Source organism: Homo sapiens, chromosome 16 (genome assembly GCF_000001405.40).
Source record: "Homo sapiens chromosome 16, GRCh38.p14 Primary Assembly".
NCBI lineage: Eukaryota > Metazoa > Chordata > Mammalia > Primates > Hominidae > Homo > Homo sapiens.
The window spans coordinates 22,545,409-22,562,166 of record NC_000016.10 but is presented as its reverse complement, the minus strand read 5'-3'; the positions used below and the strand labels follow the sequence as shown (position 1 = coordinate 22,562,166).

General features: G+C 43.1%; 1 pseudogene across 1 annotated transcript in view; it reads right to left on the bottom strand.

Annotated features, from left to right (window-relative positions):
• Positions 1 to 16,469, bottom strand: part of OTOAP1 (OTOA pseudogene 1) — a 31,168-nt pseudogene extending 14,699 nt beyond the window's left edge. Inside the window, exons 1-4 of the transcript NR_003676.3 lie at positions 15,111 to 16,469; positions 9,654 to 9,783; positions 5,137 to 5,324; positions 1,008 to 1,163 (exon numbers count right to left, since the gene is read on the bottom strand). The product of NR_003676.3 is annotated as an OTOA pseudogene 1 (transcript). The remainder of the gene's footprint in view (positions 1 to 1,007; positions 1,164 to 5,136; positions 5,325 to 9,653; positions 9,784 to 15,110) is intronic.
• Positions 16,470 to 16,758: the final 289 nt, after the last annotated feature.

Below are 16,758 nucleotides of genomic sequence, written 5' to 3'. Positions count from 1 at the left end.
CTAACACTTCCCTTTCCAGCAGTACAGTGGATTAGACACCCTAAACTCCTCTCCCAATCAAAACAATTAAAATTCTGGGAAGAACTTCTTCTTTAGCCCATGAAGGATTAATTAACATAGGAATTGGCCACCCACCATAAACAACTAGAAAATTTAACAAAATACATCAGACAACTGCATCCGGATATGGAACAACAGAATCATAATCCCAGAAGAAGAAAAACAAACAAGATGAGCCTTAAAATTACCCTCACTTACTGCCAAAAAGCAGTTTCCAAGACATGGATCAGGAAGAGGAACCAAAACAAGCCCAGTGGCCCAGCTGAGTTGAGGATACAGATATCCAAGTTCAGAGAGGCCACGGCACTTATCACTTGGGCAAAGTATTGGAGAGGAGGAAACTGCAGAGGGTTCCAGAAAGCTGCAGAGATGTCTAGTACTGACTGCTATTTTGCACATGCAAAGAGTGAAACTCCACATAGGCAGGAAAAGAGTCATCAGTAATCAGAAAGGATTAGGCTGAGCAACTTCCAGAGCTCATATGGAGCTGGAAATAGTTCACATTCTCACCAGCCAAAGTAGAGAGATCTTGAAATACATGGAGCATTAGGTAACATCCTCAAAGGAATCATGTCACAGTAATGATGATAAATTAACAACAGAATAAAGGTCACTCTGGTTTTACCCTAACAAAACTCAAAAGGAAGCATCAAAAGGATCAAGCTGATTTGAAAGTAACTTAAGTGTATGACAGAACAAAGCCCAATACTCTTCAAAGAAATACAACTAAATCAAATACTCAACAATGTAAAATCCACAATGCTCATCACCCAATCAAAATTGCTAGGCTTGCAAACAAAAAAAGAAAATATGACTCATAACTAAGAGAAAAATCAGTCAACAGAAACAGACTCAAAAATGACCATCATGAGGAAATTAACAGTAAGGATATGAAGGCAGCTCTTATAAATATGGAATAGTTAAAAGACCCAGAAACATCCACCCACCTGTCCCGGGGTCCATTCTGTTTGCCAGCTTAGGGAAGCCACAGTGTCTATGGAGCTGAGGTCCAGCTGCTCCAGCTCACTCTCATTAAGAGCCAGAGCAATGCGCCCCAGGGAGACGATATGGTGTTCTCTCCAGTAAGATGGCATGTCCCAAACCTTTAGGCAAAAAAAGAAAATAGATTAGACTGAACACTGTGATGGTATTTACAATGATTTGAATGTTTGTGCCCCTCTAAAATGCATATGTTAAAACCTAATCTCCAATGTGATAGTATTGGAAGGTTGGGCCTTGGGAGATGATTAGGTCATAAGGGTGGAGCCCTCATGAGTGGGATTAGTGCCCTTGTAAAAGAGACCCCAGAGAGCTAGCTACAAGCTAGTCCCTTTCCACCATGTGAGGACACAGTGAGAAAGCACCATCTATGAAAAACAAGTCCTTACCAGATACTGGATCTGCCAGTGCTTCAATTTTTGATTTCTCACCCCCCAGAACTGTGAGAAATAAATTTCTGTTTATAAGTTACCAGTCTATGATATTTTGTTATAGCAGCCTGAATGGACAAAGGCAGTATCTAAAATAGACATAAGGAGGCTAGGTGCGGTGGCTCACACTTGGAATCTCAGCATTTTTGGAGGCCAAGGCATGCAGATCACATGAGGCCAGGAGTTCAAGACCAGCCTGGCCAACATAACGAAACCCTGCCTCTACTAAAAATACAAAAAAAAAAAAATTAGCTGTGCATGGTGGCGCACATCTGTAATCCCAGCCACTTGGGTGGCTGAGGCACAAGACTCACTTGCAGAAGTTGCAGTTAGCCAAGATGGTGCCACTGTACTCCAGCCTGGGTGACAGAGCGAGACCCTGTCTCAAAGAAATAAAAATAAAACAGACATAGGGAAACCTATTGTGCAGCATGGTGACCACAGTTGATAATAATGTGTTGAACGGTTGAAAATTGTGAAGAGAGTAGATGTTAAATATTCTCACAACAAAAACTGACAACGGACAAGTATGAAAGGTGATTGACATGTTAGCTTGCTTTAACCATTCCCCAATGTATACATACATCAAAACATCATATTGTATATATGTATACACCATAAATATATATAATTTGTATTTGTCAACTATCCCTTAATAAAAAATAAATAAAAATTAAAAAGACATAGGGTAAATCTTAATATAAAGCTCTCTTTTAAATCAATAATAAAAAGATGACTATATTTGTTTTAAAAAAAAGATAGACAAAAGACATCAACAAGGAATTCACAAAAGAAAAATTAAATGTATGGGGAAAACTTTATTCTCAGTCATAATTAAAGAAATATACATTAAAAACAATCAGACCATGTTGATTCATCACATGTCAAGAAGTATAAAGACTTATCACCATTTACGATACTGGAAAGATACAAGGTAAGGGATACCCTCATTTGTTGTAGTTGAGAATATAAGTTGGTACATACTCTTGAGAGGGCAATTTGGCTATCTGTATCAAAAGCTTTTAAAGTATTTATATTCTTTGACCCAGAAATTCCACCTCTGGGAATTTAGCCTGAGTAAATGAGACAAGTACCCAACAGTATATGTATAAAGGCATACATTGAGGCATTTTTTTAATGCAACATGAAAGTCTAACAATTAGCTAAATAAATAAGAACTAACCATAAATAAAATGAAGTTGCCCCTGTGGATACCTCCACCAAGGATTGGTTCCAGGACTTCTTAAAGATACCAAAATCCATGGATATTCAAGTCCCTTATATAAAATAGTGTAGTATTTGCATATAATCTATGCACATCCTCATGTATACTTTAAATCATCTCTAGATTAGTTATAATACCTGATGCAATATAAGTGCTATGTAAATATGTACAAAATGTTATGTCAAAAATGCTACTGTATTTTTATGTGTATTGTTTTTTATTGTTATATTGTTATTTGGATCATTTTTTCTAAATACATTCTACCTGAGGTTGGTTGAATCTGCAGATGTGGAACCCACTGATATGGAAGGCTAATTGTATTACAAAGCTATTTAAAATACTGATATAGGCTAGATGCTGTGGCTTACGCCTGTAATCCCAACACTTTGGGAGGCCAGGCAGACAGATCACTTGAGGTCAGGAGTTCGAGACCAGCCTGGCCAACATTGTGAAACCCCATCTCTACTAAAAATACAAAAATTAGCCGGGCATGGTGGCGGATGCCTGTAATCTCAGCTACTTGGGAGGATGAGGCAGGAGAATTGCTTGAACCTGGGAGGCAGAAGTTGCAGTAAGCCAAGACCACACTATTGTACTCCAGCCTGGGCAACAAGAACAAAACTCCATCTCAAAAAATAAATAAATAAATAAAATACTGACATAGATGTACATTTTGGATATGAAAAAATATGCAGTCTGTACTGTTGGGTGTAGAAAGCAAGTTATTGAATAGTAGGTAAGTATAATATCATTTTTGTAAAACATGAGATATATGTATGAAATATATAAAATAATATTTTTTATATACATAGTTTTGGAGTCTGGTAAGCTTCAAGTGAATATACCAAAATATCAACAGTGCTTATCTGCTGAACAGTGCTTATCAAAATATCAACAGTGAGTAAAAGATTATCACTGATTTTCTTCTTTATTATTTTCTGACTTTTCTACAATAAACTTGAAGTACTCATATAATACATAAATACAGTTATATTTATAATTTTAAGACATTGAATTGTTTAACCCTTGAGGGTAACTAGATATTCCACAACCATGTAAAGAGCTAAAACAGGGCTGGGTGCAGTGGCTCATGCCTGTAATCCCAGCACTGTGGGAGGCCAAGGTGAGCAGATCTCTTGAGGCTAGGGGTTTGAGACAAGCCTGGCCAAACAAACCCCGTCTCTACTAAAATACAATTATTAGCCAGGCATGGTGGCTTGTGCCTGTAGTCCCAGCTACTCAGGTGGCTGAGACACAAGAATCACTTGAACCCGGGAGGCAGAGTTTGCAGTGAACCACAGATCGCGCTGCTGCCCTCCAGCCTGTACGACAGAGCAAGACTCTGTCTTAAAAGAAAAAGAAAAAAAAAAGAAAGAAAAGCTAAAACAGGCCACAAAGGGACCTTTTCCTTTTATTTATTTATTTGAGACAGAGTCTCGCTCTATCACCAGGCTGGAGTGTAGTGACGCAATCTCGGCTCATGGCAGCCTCCGCCTCCCGGGTTCAAGCAATTCTCCTGCCTCAGCCTCCCGAGTAGCTGGAACTACAGGTGCATGCCACCTGTAGAGATGGGGTTTCACCATGTTGGCCAGGCTGGTCTCGATCTCTTGACCTCGTGATCCGCCTCCCAAAGTGCTGGGATTATAGGCATGAGCCACTGCACCCAGCCTATTTTTATTTATTTTTGAGACAAGGTATCAGCTCTGACGCCTAGGCTAGAGTGCACTGGCGCAATCTTGGCTTACTGCAACCTCCACCTCCCGGGTTCAAGCCATTCTCCTGCCTCAGCCTCCTGAGTAGCTGGAACTACAGGCACATGACACCACGCCTGGCTAATGTTTGCATTTTGAGTAGAGACAGGGTTTCACCATGTTGGCCAGCCTGGTCTCGAACTCCTGACCTCCCGTGATCCGCCCGCCTCGGCCTCCCAAAGTGTTGGGATTACAGGCATAAGCCACTGCACCCAGCCAACAAAGGGACCTTTTTAAAGATGGAAAGCTACTTCCAGTCCTCTTTTTACTCCTTTCTGTTATATTTTCAGACAAATTTGCAAATGATTCTGAGAAAACCTGCTGTGAGCAGCAGCTGGGGCTCTCCAGGTGAAGGAATAAAGCCTAATTCCTGCAAACCGCCTTGGTCAGAGGCACTGGGACATCCACAGAACTTGATTCACTGAGCATCTGCTAGATGCCAAGACACATCTCATCCCATTCTCTGCCACAGCCCTAAGAGGGAGGAACTGGAAATTTCCTCCTTTCTCAGATAAGGAGATCACAATATCACTGAGCTGATGCAGTAAAATTTCAAGATGATGTATGGGAAAACTGCTCGAGGAGGGTTCTATGTGCAGAAATGCTGAACTGGTTTTGGTGTTTTTCTTTTTTCCTCTGTTTAATGTTTCCTCCCTGAGGTGGGCTTCACCTGTATTGCTTTCTCCTTCAGGGTCATCAGCTGAGGCCGGCTGAAACCCTGGACAGCTCCCAGCAGTTCCACGGTCCTGATGAATGTGTCTTCCTCCATGCACCGCAGGTCCTCCAGGGCCCAGCAGGCGTTGGCTTCGGCCAACTTGAAGATGTCATCAGAAGAGGGGGCCACGACTCCATGGCAACCTGAAGAAAGGAGAGATGCAGGGAAGGAGAAGAGGAAAGAGAATTTCAGGAAATGTTAGTGTATTGAAATGAGTAACATTCTTTGCCAGTCAGATTTATGCATGGAAGGGACTACAGAGTAAAAGCAGAGAGCAGGAGGCAGGGACCAGTTTGAATCCCACTTCTGCCATTTCTTGCTAATTACTGGGTAACAAAGTCATGGAAATGCCAGCTTTTTGCACATCCACATGCACAAACTAGGAGCGGTGCAACATTACAATTAAACTACAAATTCCTTGAGGGCAGTAAGAGCTGGTGGTGAACAGTCCTGACTTTCGATTCAAATCCAAGGCTATTTAACCTCTCTGTATTTCAGTTTTCTTGTCTATAAAATGGAAATAAAATCGCCTCATAGGATGGTTGTGAAAACTAAATGTGTTATATGTAAAGCACTTAGAACAGTGCCACGCATACAGTAAGCACTCGATACACAATTTCTGTTGCCTATCTTACCCCCTATGCCTTTGAGTTTGCAGCCCAGCATAAAGATTCCAAAATTATGCAGCAGCCTTCCTATAAAAATGGGAAGATGGGCTGTGCGGTGGCGCATGTCTTTAATCCCAGCACTTTGGGAGGCCAAGGCAGAAGGATCACTTGAGCCCAGGAATTCAAGACCAGCCTGGGCAGCATGGTAAGACCTCACCTCTAAAAAAAAAAAAACTACAAAATATTAGCTAGGCATGGTGGCACATGCCTGTAGTCCCAGCTACCCAGCAGGCTGAGGTGGGAGGATCACCTGAGCCTGGGAGGTCAAGATTGCAGTGAGCCGTGATCACACCTATTCTCCAGCCTGGGTAACGGTGAGACCCTGTGTCAAAATAAAATAAAAAATAAAAACCAGGAAGATGAGTTGCTGTCCATGAAAATCATAGTGGGGGTTGTGGCTTTCCCATCCCAAGAGAAAAGAGAAATGAGCCTATTGCATTTCTCTTGGCAACAGGAAAAACATCCATTTCGGTCTTTGAATAATGTGAACCTTACCTACTCAAACCAGCTACCAACCAACATGCAAGTGAGATATTGTCTTTGCTGGATCTGATGTGCCCAACCTGGGAGAAAACTCTAGGATCCTTAAGAGCAACCCTGGATTTCTTATCTTAGCCGCAGACCACCACTGATGCTGACAGATGCACCAACCCCACCCAAGGCCAGGGTATTTCCCGAGTCCCATGGCCTCTCTCTTCTCATTGCACCTTCAATGGAAATTCACTGCATTCCAATCACGAGGCAAAAGTAGACCAGATCAAAGATGCCAGTTGTGGTCCTCAAACATCTTTATCATAAGCCACTTGGAGAGGACTAAAGACCCATCCCTCCCTAGGCCAACCCCCAGCCCACCCTCTAGTGAAAACAACATCAGTGATAGCACAGAACTAGAGAGGGCAGAATGGTTGACTAGTATATCAGGAACTTGGTCTTATCACTGTGTCTGTCCAGGGCTTAGAATAGAGCCTGGTACATCGTAGGTGTTCAGCAAATATCTGTGGAGTGAGTGAACACACACACACAAATTAATATAAAACCAAGCGGTAATTCTGCTAATCCATCAATCACTAAAGCACAGCAGCAATTAATACCCAGAACCAACTAAAGAACACTCAAACTATGCACTGATACCAGAGCTTCCTTCCCCTGAGCATAGAAAGCCTTATTTTGTGTACCACATGCACACAGTAAGAGCTCTGCAATATGATGACATGGACTGCTAGACCTTGAGGGCAGTGGGAGCCAGTGGTGGTCACCACCAACTTTGGGTACAAATCCAAGAACTGCCATTTACTAACTCTGTGACTTTAGACAAGTCCCTTAGTCTCCTAAGCCCCAGTTTCCTTCATTTAAAAAACAAGAGAACACCCAAGCCTGGAAATCTGCAGCCCTAAATGGGAATAGGCATTCCTGTTTTCATGCCCAAATGTTAGGTTTTGGCCTGCCACATCCCACTATCCTGTACCCATATAAACCCCAAACCCCAGGCTCCATGAGCATACAAGCAGATGAGCAGATGAACAGAAGAGAAGAGGAGCAGAAGAGCAGCATGGCAGAGAAAGGAGCATCTGAAGGCCAAGAAGAGTTTGGCTGGGGACAGTTGGAGAGGAGATTGGTCACAGGACAGCCAAACTCCAGGGGAAGATCATCTTCCCACTCCATCCCCTTTCTAGCTCCCCATCCATCCCACCGAGAGCCACCTCCATTACCCAATAAAACCCCACATTCACCAAGAAAAAAAAAAACGGGAGAACAAGATAATGCATGGAGGGATAATCACCCAAGGTAGACACAAATCCAATTGTGATACTTCTTTGCTCGATGTCACACGATGCCTCCACCCAGAGTAAAAGCCAAAGTCATTAGGGTTTCCTTTAACAGTCACTACATGGCTGGCCTTGTCTCTCACTCCCCTCCAAACACACTGGCCCTTACCTCCCACTCATGGAAGTGGTCCTGTTGCACTCTCTGCCTGGAAGACTCTAATTGAAAATATCCACATGGCCCACTCTCCCTTGGGTCTTCATTCAAATGTCACCTTCTCAATAAGATGTTCCTTCATGATTCTCTTTTCACATGACAGTCCCCTCTCAACACTCGTGGTGCATTCCCTTGCTTTATTTTCCTTCTTGGCACTTTTCATACAATATACCATATATTTTACTTATGTATGGAAATTTATTGTCTTGCTACCCTCCATTTGAAAGTAAGCTCTTTATTTACAAAATTGGTGCTTAATGAATATTTGTTGGGTGGATGAAAGCAAGCACTGACTGTCAACTACTATCACTGGGGGTGATTAACTTTGTCTCCTCATGCCTGGCCCCAGTCTGTACTTAGTAGGTGCATGGTAATAATAATAAAATATCTAACACTTGGACAGGCATGGTAGCTCACATCTATAATCCCAGCACTATGGGAGACCAAGGCAGGAGGATCACTTGAGGCTCAGAGTTCAAGATCAGCCTGGGCAACACAGTAAGACCCTATCTCTACAAAAAAATAAAAAATTATCCAGATGTGGTGGTTCATGCCTGTAGTCCCAACTACTTGTGAAGCTGAGGTGGGAGGATCCCTTGAGTCCAGGAGGTCGAGGCTGTAGTGAACCATGATTGCTGCACTCCAGCCTGGGTGGCAGAGCGAGGCCCTGCCTCTATAAAATCAAATTTTAGGCCGGGGGCAGTGGCTCACGCCTGTAATCCCAGTATTTCGGGAGGCCAAGGCAGGTGGATCACCTGAGGCCAGCGTTCAAGACCAGCCTGGCCAACATTGTGAAACCCCGTCTTTACTAATAATACAAAACTTAGCCAGGTGTGGTGGCACATGCCTATAATCCCAGCTAGTCAGGAGGCTGAGGCAGGAGAGTTGCTGTAATCTGGGAGGTGGAGGTTGCAGTGGGCCGAGATCATGCCACTATACTCCAGCCTGGGTGACACTCCAGCAAGACTCCATCTCAAAAAATAAAAAAAATCAAATTTTAAAAATATATAATACTTATTAAAGATCTGCTACATGCCAGGCATTCCGGTAAACATGTTTCTGGGTTTAAACCCATTAATTCTCACAATAACCCAGTGAGGTAGAGACTTTCATTATCCCCATTTGATAAAGGATGAAAACTGAGGCACACAGAGGTTAAAGAGCTTACCCAAAGCCACACAGCCAGTAAGTGGCAGACTCAGGAGTGAAATCTAGCCAGCCCGGCCCTGTCACTGCTATGTTAAACCACTAATCCATGTTGGTCCTCTAAGTCAATCCTACTGAAATGTTTGTTACACATATTCACGCATTAAACCTACTAGCCTGGATATGGAGTATGGGACATGATTCCAGGTCACTTTACAAAAGTGTAACTCTTTTTTTTTTGAGACAGAGTCTCGCTGTCACCCAGGCTGGAGTGCAGTGGTGCCATCTCAGCTCACTGCAACCTTCACCTCCTGGGTTCAAGCAATCCTCGTGTCTCAGCCTCCTGAGTAGCTGGGACTACAGGTGTGCACCACCACACCCGGCTAATTTTTGTGTTTCTAGTAGAGACAGGGTTTCGCCATGTTGGCCAGGCTGGTCTCGAACTCCTGACCTCAAGTGATCTGCCTGCCTCAACCTCACAAAGTGCTAGGATTACAGGCTTGAGCAATCGCACCTGAACCAAAAGTGTAATTCTTTTGCTTATAGATTTTGTCATTCTATTGCTTTGCAGACATTTCATCCAGTTCCCTGCATAAGGAGGCCTCTTGATGTTAGGGACCCTGCCCAAAACATTAATTACTATGCCAACAGTGGCTCAGATACCCTGGAAACACTCACCAGGCATAGGGTCAGAGCTGGGGATCTTATCACTGCTGTTCCGAACAGACTGAAAGACAGCCCAGAGGAATTATTTAGGGGGCAGGGTCCTGGCCATCTTGGAAGCTGCTTGCAGAAGGATCTCAGGAAACTGTGTGAAAGAAGATGAAAGAAGAGGAATAATAATTAAAACCCCTTAAATACAGATTGAAATTAGAGTTGAAACTGTCACACTACTTACTGCCTTCATTCTTTGTTATAGCAACTTCTCATATAAATCTATTCCCTAGTCCCACTAATGTGGTCTCTATAAAGAATCCTATAAAATGATACTCAACTTCAATAAAAATCCAATAAAGTCTAAAAAACATAAGTAAATCACTTTTCACCCATCAGATTGTCAAAAATAAAATAAAGTGCTAATACTTAATGCTGGGCACATTCATTTTTCCGTGGGACTGTCAAACTGTGCACTATTAGCAGAGCAATCTGGTAATATCGACAAAAAAATTTAGGTTAGGCCAGGTGTGGTGGCTCATACTTGTAATCCCAGCATTTTGGGAGGTCGATGCAGGCAAATCACTTGAGGTCAGGAGCTCAAGACTGGCCTGGCCAACATGGTGAAACCCCATCTCCACTAAAAATACAGAAATTAGCCAGGCGTGGTGGCATGAGCCTGTCATCCCAGCTACTTAGGAGGCTGAGACAGAAGGATCACCCGAGCCCAGAAGGCTGAGGTTGTAGTGAGTCGAGAGCATGCCACTGCACTCCAGCCTGGGTGATGGGAGTAAAACCCTGTCTCAGAAAAAAACAAAAAAAAATGTATGTGTACCTACCCCTTTTTTGGTTTGGTGCTATTTCTAAGTTTTTACTAAACTTTATATTTGATATAGTTTGGATGTGTACCCCACCCAAATCTTATTGAAATGTAATCCCCAGTGTTGGAGGTGGGGCCCAGTGAGAGGTGATTGGATCATGGGGGCAGATTTCTCATGAATGGTTAAATACAATCCCCTTGGTACTGTCCTCACAATAGTGCGTGCGTTCTCTCGAGATCTTGTTGTTTAAATGCATGTAGCACCTCCCCCATCACGCTCTTGCTCCTGTGTCGGCCAAGTAAGATGTGTCTGCTCCCCCTTCGCCTTCCGCCATGATTGTAAGTTTCTTGAGGCCTTCCCAGAAGCTGGGCAGATGCCAGCATCATGCTTCCTGTACAGTCGGCAGAGCCACGAGCCAATCAATCCTCTTTTCTTGTCTCTTTTTTTTTTTTTTTCAGAGTCTTGTTCTGTTGCTCAAGCTGGAATACAGTGGTGTGATCTCCACTCACTGCAACCTCCACCTCCCAGGCTCAAGTAATTCTCGTGCCTGAGCCTCCTGAGTAGCTGGGATTACATGCATGCAGCACCAAGCCAGGCTAATTTTTTTTTTATTTTTATTGTAGACAAGGTTTCACTATCTTGGCCTGGCTGGTCTCAAACTCCTGGCCTCAAGTGATTCGCCCACCTCGGCCTCCCAAAGTGCTGGGATTACAGATGTGAGCCACTGTGCCTGGCAGTGTTTGTTTGTCTGTTTAGACGGAGTCTCGCTCTATCACCCAGGGTGGAGTGGGGGGCACGATCTCGGCTCACTGCAAGCTCCGCCCCCTGGGTTCACGCCGTTCTCCTACCTCAGCCTCCCGAGTAGCTGGGACTACATGCGCCCACCACCACGCCCAGCTAATTTTTTGTGTTTTTTTAGTAGAGACGGGGTTTCACCCTCTTAGCCAGGATGGTCTCAATCTCCTGACCTCGTGATCTGCCCGCCTCGGCCTCCCAAACTGCTGGGATTGCAGGCATGAGCCACTGCACCTGGCCCTTTTCATTTTATTTTTTTTAATTTAACTTTTATTTTAAGTTCAGGGGTACATGGCAGGTTTGTTATATAGGTAAGCTTGTGTCATGGAGGTTTGTTGTACAAATTATTTAATCACCCAGGTATTAAGCCTAGTACCCATTAGTTATTTTTGCTGATCTTCTCCCTCCTCCCACCCTTCACTCTCCAATAGGCCCCAGTATCTGCTGTTCCATTCTATGTGACAACGTGTTCTCATCATTTAGCTCCCACTTATAAGTAAGAACATGCGGTATTTGGTTTTCTGTTTCTGCATTAGTTTGCTAAGGATGATGGCCTCCAGCTCCATCCATGTCCCTGCAAAGAACACGATCTCATTCTTTTTTATGGCCACATAGTATTCCATGTAAACCTCCTTTCTTTATAAATTACCCAGTCTCAGGTATTTCTTTATAGCAATGCAAGAATTGCCTAACACAGGTCAGGTGCGGTGGCTCACACCTGTAATCCTAGCACTTGGGAGGCCCAAGCAGGCAGATCACCTGAGGTCAAGGGTTCAAGACCAGCCTGGCCAACACGGTGAAACCCCATTTCTACAAAAAATACAAAAATTCACTCGGCGTGGTGATGTATGCCTGTAATCCCTGCTACTCAGGAGGCTGAGGCAGGAGAATCACTTGAACCCAGGAGGCGGAGGTTGCAGTGAGCCGAAATCATGCCACTGCATTCTGTCCTGGGCAACAGAGCTAGACTCCATCTCAAAAAAGAGAAAGAAAAAAAGAATTGCCTAACACAACATTTGTCATGAAAAGGAGGTGAAGAAGGGTTGTCTCAACATCCTGGGTGGAGACTAGCAATGAGGGGACTTAGGGGACTTTGGGTTGCCTTGGAGAAAGTGCCATTTCTCATCTAGAACGAATACACTTTGTCAAGACTTGGGATTTTATTAGAAGGCCTGCCCATGGGCCCAGATAATCCATCAGGCTCTACAAACAGCTATGCCTCACTGGGTCCCGGCTCACCCAGAGAGCAAGCCTCTCAGCCTATGTAGCTCCCCTTTCTAGTCTCATCTTCAGAATTAGAGTCACAGTCTAGGCCAGCAGTTCTCAACCCTGGCTGTACCTAAGAGTCACCTGGGACACCCAGAGCCAGCCCCTAAAGATTCTCACTCAGTCGGGCTGGGCTGGATACCATGGATTGGTCCCTCTTGGAATCTCCCCAGGTGATTCTAATGTGCAGCTGAGGCTGAAGGCAACCACTCTAAGACAGTTAACTTTTAGAAAGCAATATGCATAGCGGAGTGAATGGCATTTTCCATTTTGTATTTTCTAAAGAAGAGTGTGTATATGCTCTTGTGTTTTTAGTAGAGACAGGGTTTCGCCATGTTGGCGAGGCTTGTTATATAGGTATTTTTATACCTATATAAAACTTGTTATATAGATATTCAGGATATTTCTGAAAGGATGCAGAAGAGATTGGGGACAGCAATTGCCTCTGAAGAGGGAGGCTAGGGAACTAGAAGTCTGGGGTGGGAGGGAGACTTGCTTCTCATCCTATTACCTTTGGTGCGATTGGGATTTGTTAACCAGGAGCATGTATTACTTGCTTTATTAAACATTTCCAGTATTTAAAAAAAGAGTATACAGAATAATACAACAAAACACCCATGTCCTCACAACCCAACTTAAGAAATAAAACATCACAATATAAATAATAAGTCCCTCCTTCACTCTTTGCCTTCCTCCTTCCCCAGAAGTAACTGTCACTCTGAATTTGGCATTCACTTTTACACTTCTCTTACATATAAACTTGGCTTACATTTGCTTTCAATTAATTCAGCTACTATTTATTTATTTACTTTGTATCCTACCATAGATATTCTTTTGCAATCTGGGTTTTTTTTTAACTCTACACTGTGTTTTTGAGATTTCACAGTGTTGATACAAGACTTTTTCAATTTCAGAAGTTGATTTTTTTAAGATTAGATAGATATATGGATGTTCTCACTGATATGTGGGAGCTAAACTATGAGGACCCAAAGGCATAAGAATGATACAATGGACTTTGGGGACTTGGATGGAAGAGTGGGAGGGGCCAAGGGATAAAAGACTACAAATATGTTGCAGTGTATACTGCTCAGGTGATGGGTGCACCAAAATCTCACAAATCACCACTAAAGAACTTACTCTTGTAACCAAACACCACCTGTACCCCAATACCTTATGGAAAAATAAAAATAATAATAAACATCTAAACATAAGAAAAACAAGGAAGGAAAAAAAATAGATGGATATATAACATTTGTGCATCAGGGCCGGGCATGGTGGCTCACGCGTGTAATCCCAGCACTTGGGAGGCCGAGGCGGGCAGATCACTTGAGGTCAGGAGTTCAAGACCAGGCTGGCCAACGTGGTGAAGCCCCATATCTACTAAAAATATAAAAATTAGCTGGGCATAGTGGCAGGGGCCTGTAATCCCAGCTACTCGGGAGGCTGAGGCAGGAGAATCACTTGAACCCAGGAAGCAGAGGTTGCAGTGAGCCGAGATTGCATCACTACACTCCAGCCTGGGCAACAGAGGGAGACTCCATCGCAAAATAAAATAAAATAATAAAATAAAAATAAACATGTGTGCATCAACTGCTTATAACTATATATTCAGACATCCAGAATATGATTTTACTGTGACTGGACTTCAGAATGTGTGCTGCGTGTGATCCTAGGTGAAGTTGTGTGTGTTCAGGCCCTGCTGAGCATGTGTGACCATGTGTACCTTGTGCCTGCAAGTGCAGGTATGAGAGTGTGTGGATGTGCTTTGTGGGGGATCTGATTGTCATTCAGCAAACATTCACTCCTTTCCTGCCCTCCACCTCCATGGAAGGAGACTCCTTCCTGCCCCATTAAAGTTGGTCTTGGTCATGTAACTTACTTTGGCCATTGGAGTGTGGCAGAAGTGATAGTGTGCCAATTTCCAACCTAGGACTTAAGGAGAATTGTACTTATCCCTTCCCTTTTTTGGTAGTTTCACACCTTCATGGTGAGAAAAACAAGTTCTAGAGCAGGGCTGCCCCAGTGACCCACAAATCAGGCAGCAAGAAACATATGCGAATTGTTCTATGCCCTTGAGATTGTGTGGCTTTGTTATGCAGCACAAATGACTAACTCATGCTTATTTTGCAGGACCCTTGGCCTAGACTGTCTAACTTCTGGGGCCTTACTCCTAGAAAAGTGTCATGCCCAAATGTAATGATGAATAAAGACTTGTTATTGGATTAAATGTGCTTGCACATGTGATTGCATACACTGGACATACATGTGCATGTGCATAGGGCACCAGCCAGTGTGAGAGCCAGAACAGGCATGCGTGTGAGATGTACACTAATAGCAGAGTGGTAGCTAAGTAATATCTGTCTGCACACATCTGCCTGGGGGGCCACACAAAAGGGCCTGAGTTCATTTAGCTGTGGACTCACTCCCTTTTCCAGAACCTTGCACATCCTGGAATGGAGCTGGAAACATCTTAGCCCTTGGAGGCAGGGAGGAAGCTTCCAGAACCATAGACAGCAGTAAACCCAATGCTGTATAACTGACCACACTTTCTCTCCCCTTCAAACTCCTTCAGCCTTCTTAAGATGGAGCACAACATTACCTTTGTGGCTATAGAGCTTAATTCATCTCCTGAGAAAAGTACTAGAAAGGGTCCCAAGTCCTTCGTGGTCTCAGCTGTCCAGTGCTGAGGGAGTCTAAAAAGAGATAATAACCAGTAAAGTGAAAAAACATGCTGTGGTGGACATCTGTTGCCTTTTCCCCCAGCACCCTTTTCTTTCAGGAACAGATTGTCTTATACTCATGTCAATCACATGGTCCCACTTCCTTGACCGAGAAAATTGGCATGTGATGCAGGCTGACCAATCAGAGTCATCCCTGGGAGTTTTGATGGAACTATCAGAGAAGCTCTCCTTTCTTGGTATCTCTGGCAGTAGGGGAGGATATTGGAGGACATTCATATTACCAAGTGGAAAAAGTAAAGACCACACCAAGGAACACAGAGCTGAGGGATGGGAGGAACATATTCCTGAAGATATCATTGGAGACACGGGATTCAGCCATGCCTGAAGACCACCAGTGGAGTTTCCCGTTACATTCCATTCCTGAATTCAATACATTCCCGTTCTCTTTAGTTTGAATTAAATTATTGAATTTCTGCCATTTACATCACAGTGTGTCCTTCTTCTCCCTCCTCAATAGAAGAGTAATTATATATTTCTTCCTTTTACTTTACCATAACAGTCTTCTCTTAGAATAAGAAAAAACCTTTCTCTTGAACTTGGCAGGATAAAATAAAGGCACTGACCCAGAATCCACTGTTATTCTTGTATAGATCATAAATGCCTACAGTGAAGAGCATTACACTATCTTTGGCGGCATCTCTAAAGGAGGTCTGCCCAATTAGCAGTGACAGCTGGTGGGAATGCAAAATCATACAGCCACTTTGGAAGACATTTTGTTGGTTTCTTACAAAAGCAAACATGTTTTTGCCATATAACCCAGCAAACACACTCTTTGGTATTTACACAAAGGAGTTGAAAACTTACGTCTACATGAAAACCTGTATATGGATGTTGATAGCAGCTTTATCCATAATTGCCAAAACTTGGAAGCAACCAAATGTCCTTCTGTAGGTGAATGGCTAAATAAACTGTGGTTCATTAAGATAATGAAATATGATTCAGCACTAAAAAGAAATGAGCTATCAAGCCAAAAAAAGACCTGGAGAAAACTTAAGTGCATATTACTAAGTGAAAGAAGTCTATCTGAAAAGGCTATCTACTGTATGATTCTAAATATATGATATTCTAGAAAAGGCAAAAGTATCAGTGGTTGCCAGGAATTAGGAGTAAGAGAGGAATGAACAGGCAAAGCCCGGAAGGATTTTTAGGGCAGTGAAAATACTCCATATGATACTATAATGGTGAATACATGTTATTATATACTTGTCTGAACCCATAGAATGTAAAGCACCAAGAGTGAACCCTAATGTAAAATATGGACTTTGGATGATAATGAGAATCCAATGACGATAATGTCAACATAGGTTCATCAGTTCTAACAAATGTACAACTTTGGGGGGGGATATTGATCATGGGGAGCTTATGCATGTATGGGGTCAGAGGGATATGGGAAATCTCTATCTTCTCCATTTTTCTGAGAACCTAAAACTAGTATTAAAAATAGTCTCTAGGGTCAGGCATGGTGGCCCATACCTATAATCCCAACACTGTGGGAGGCTTAGGTGG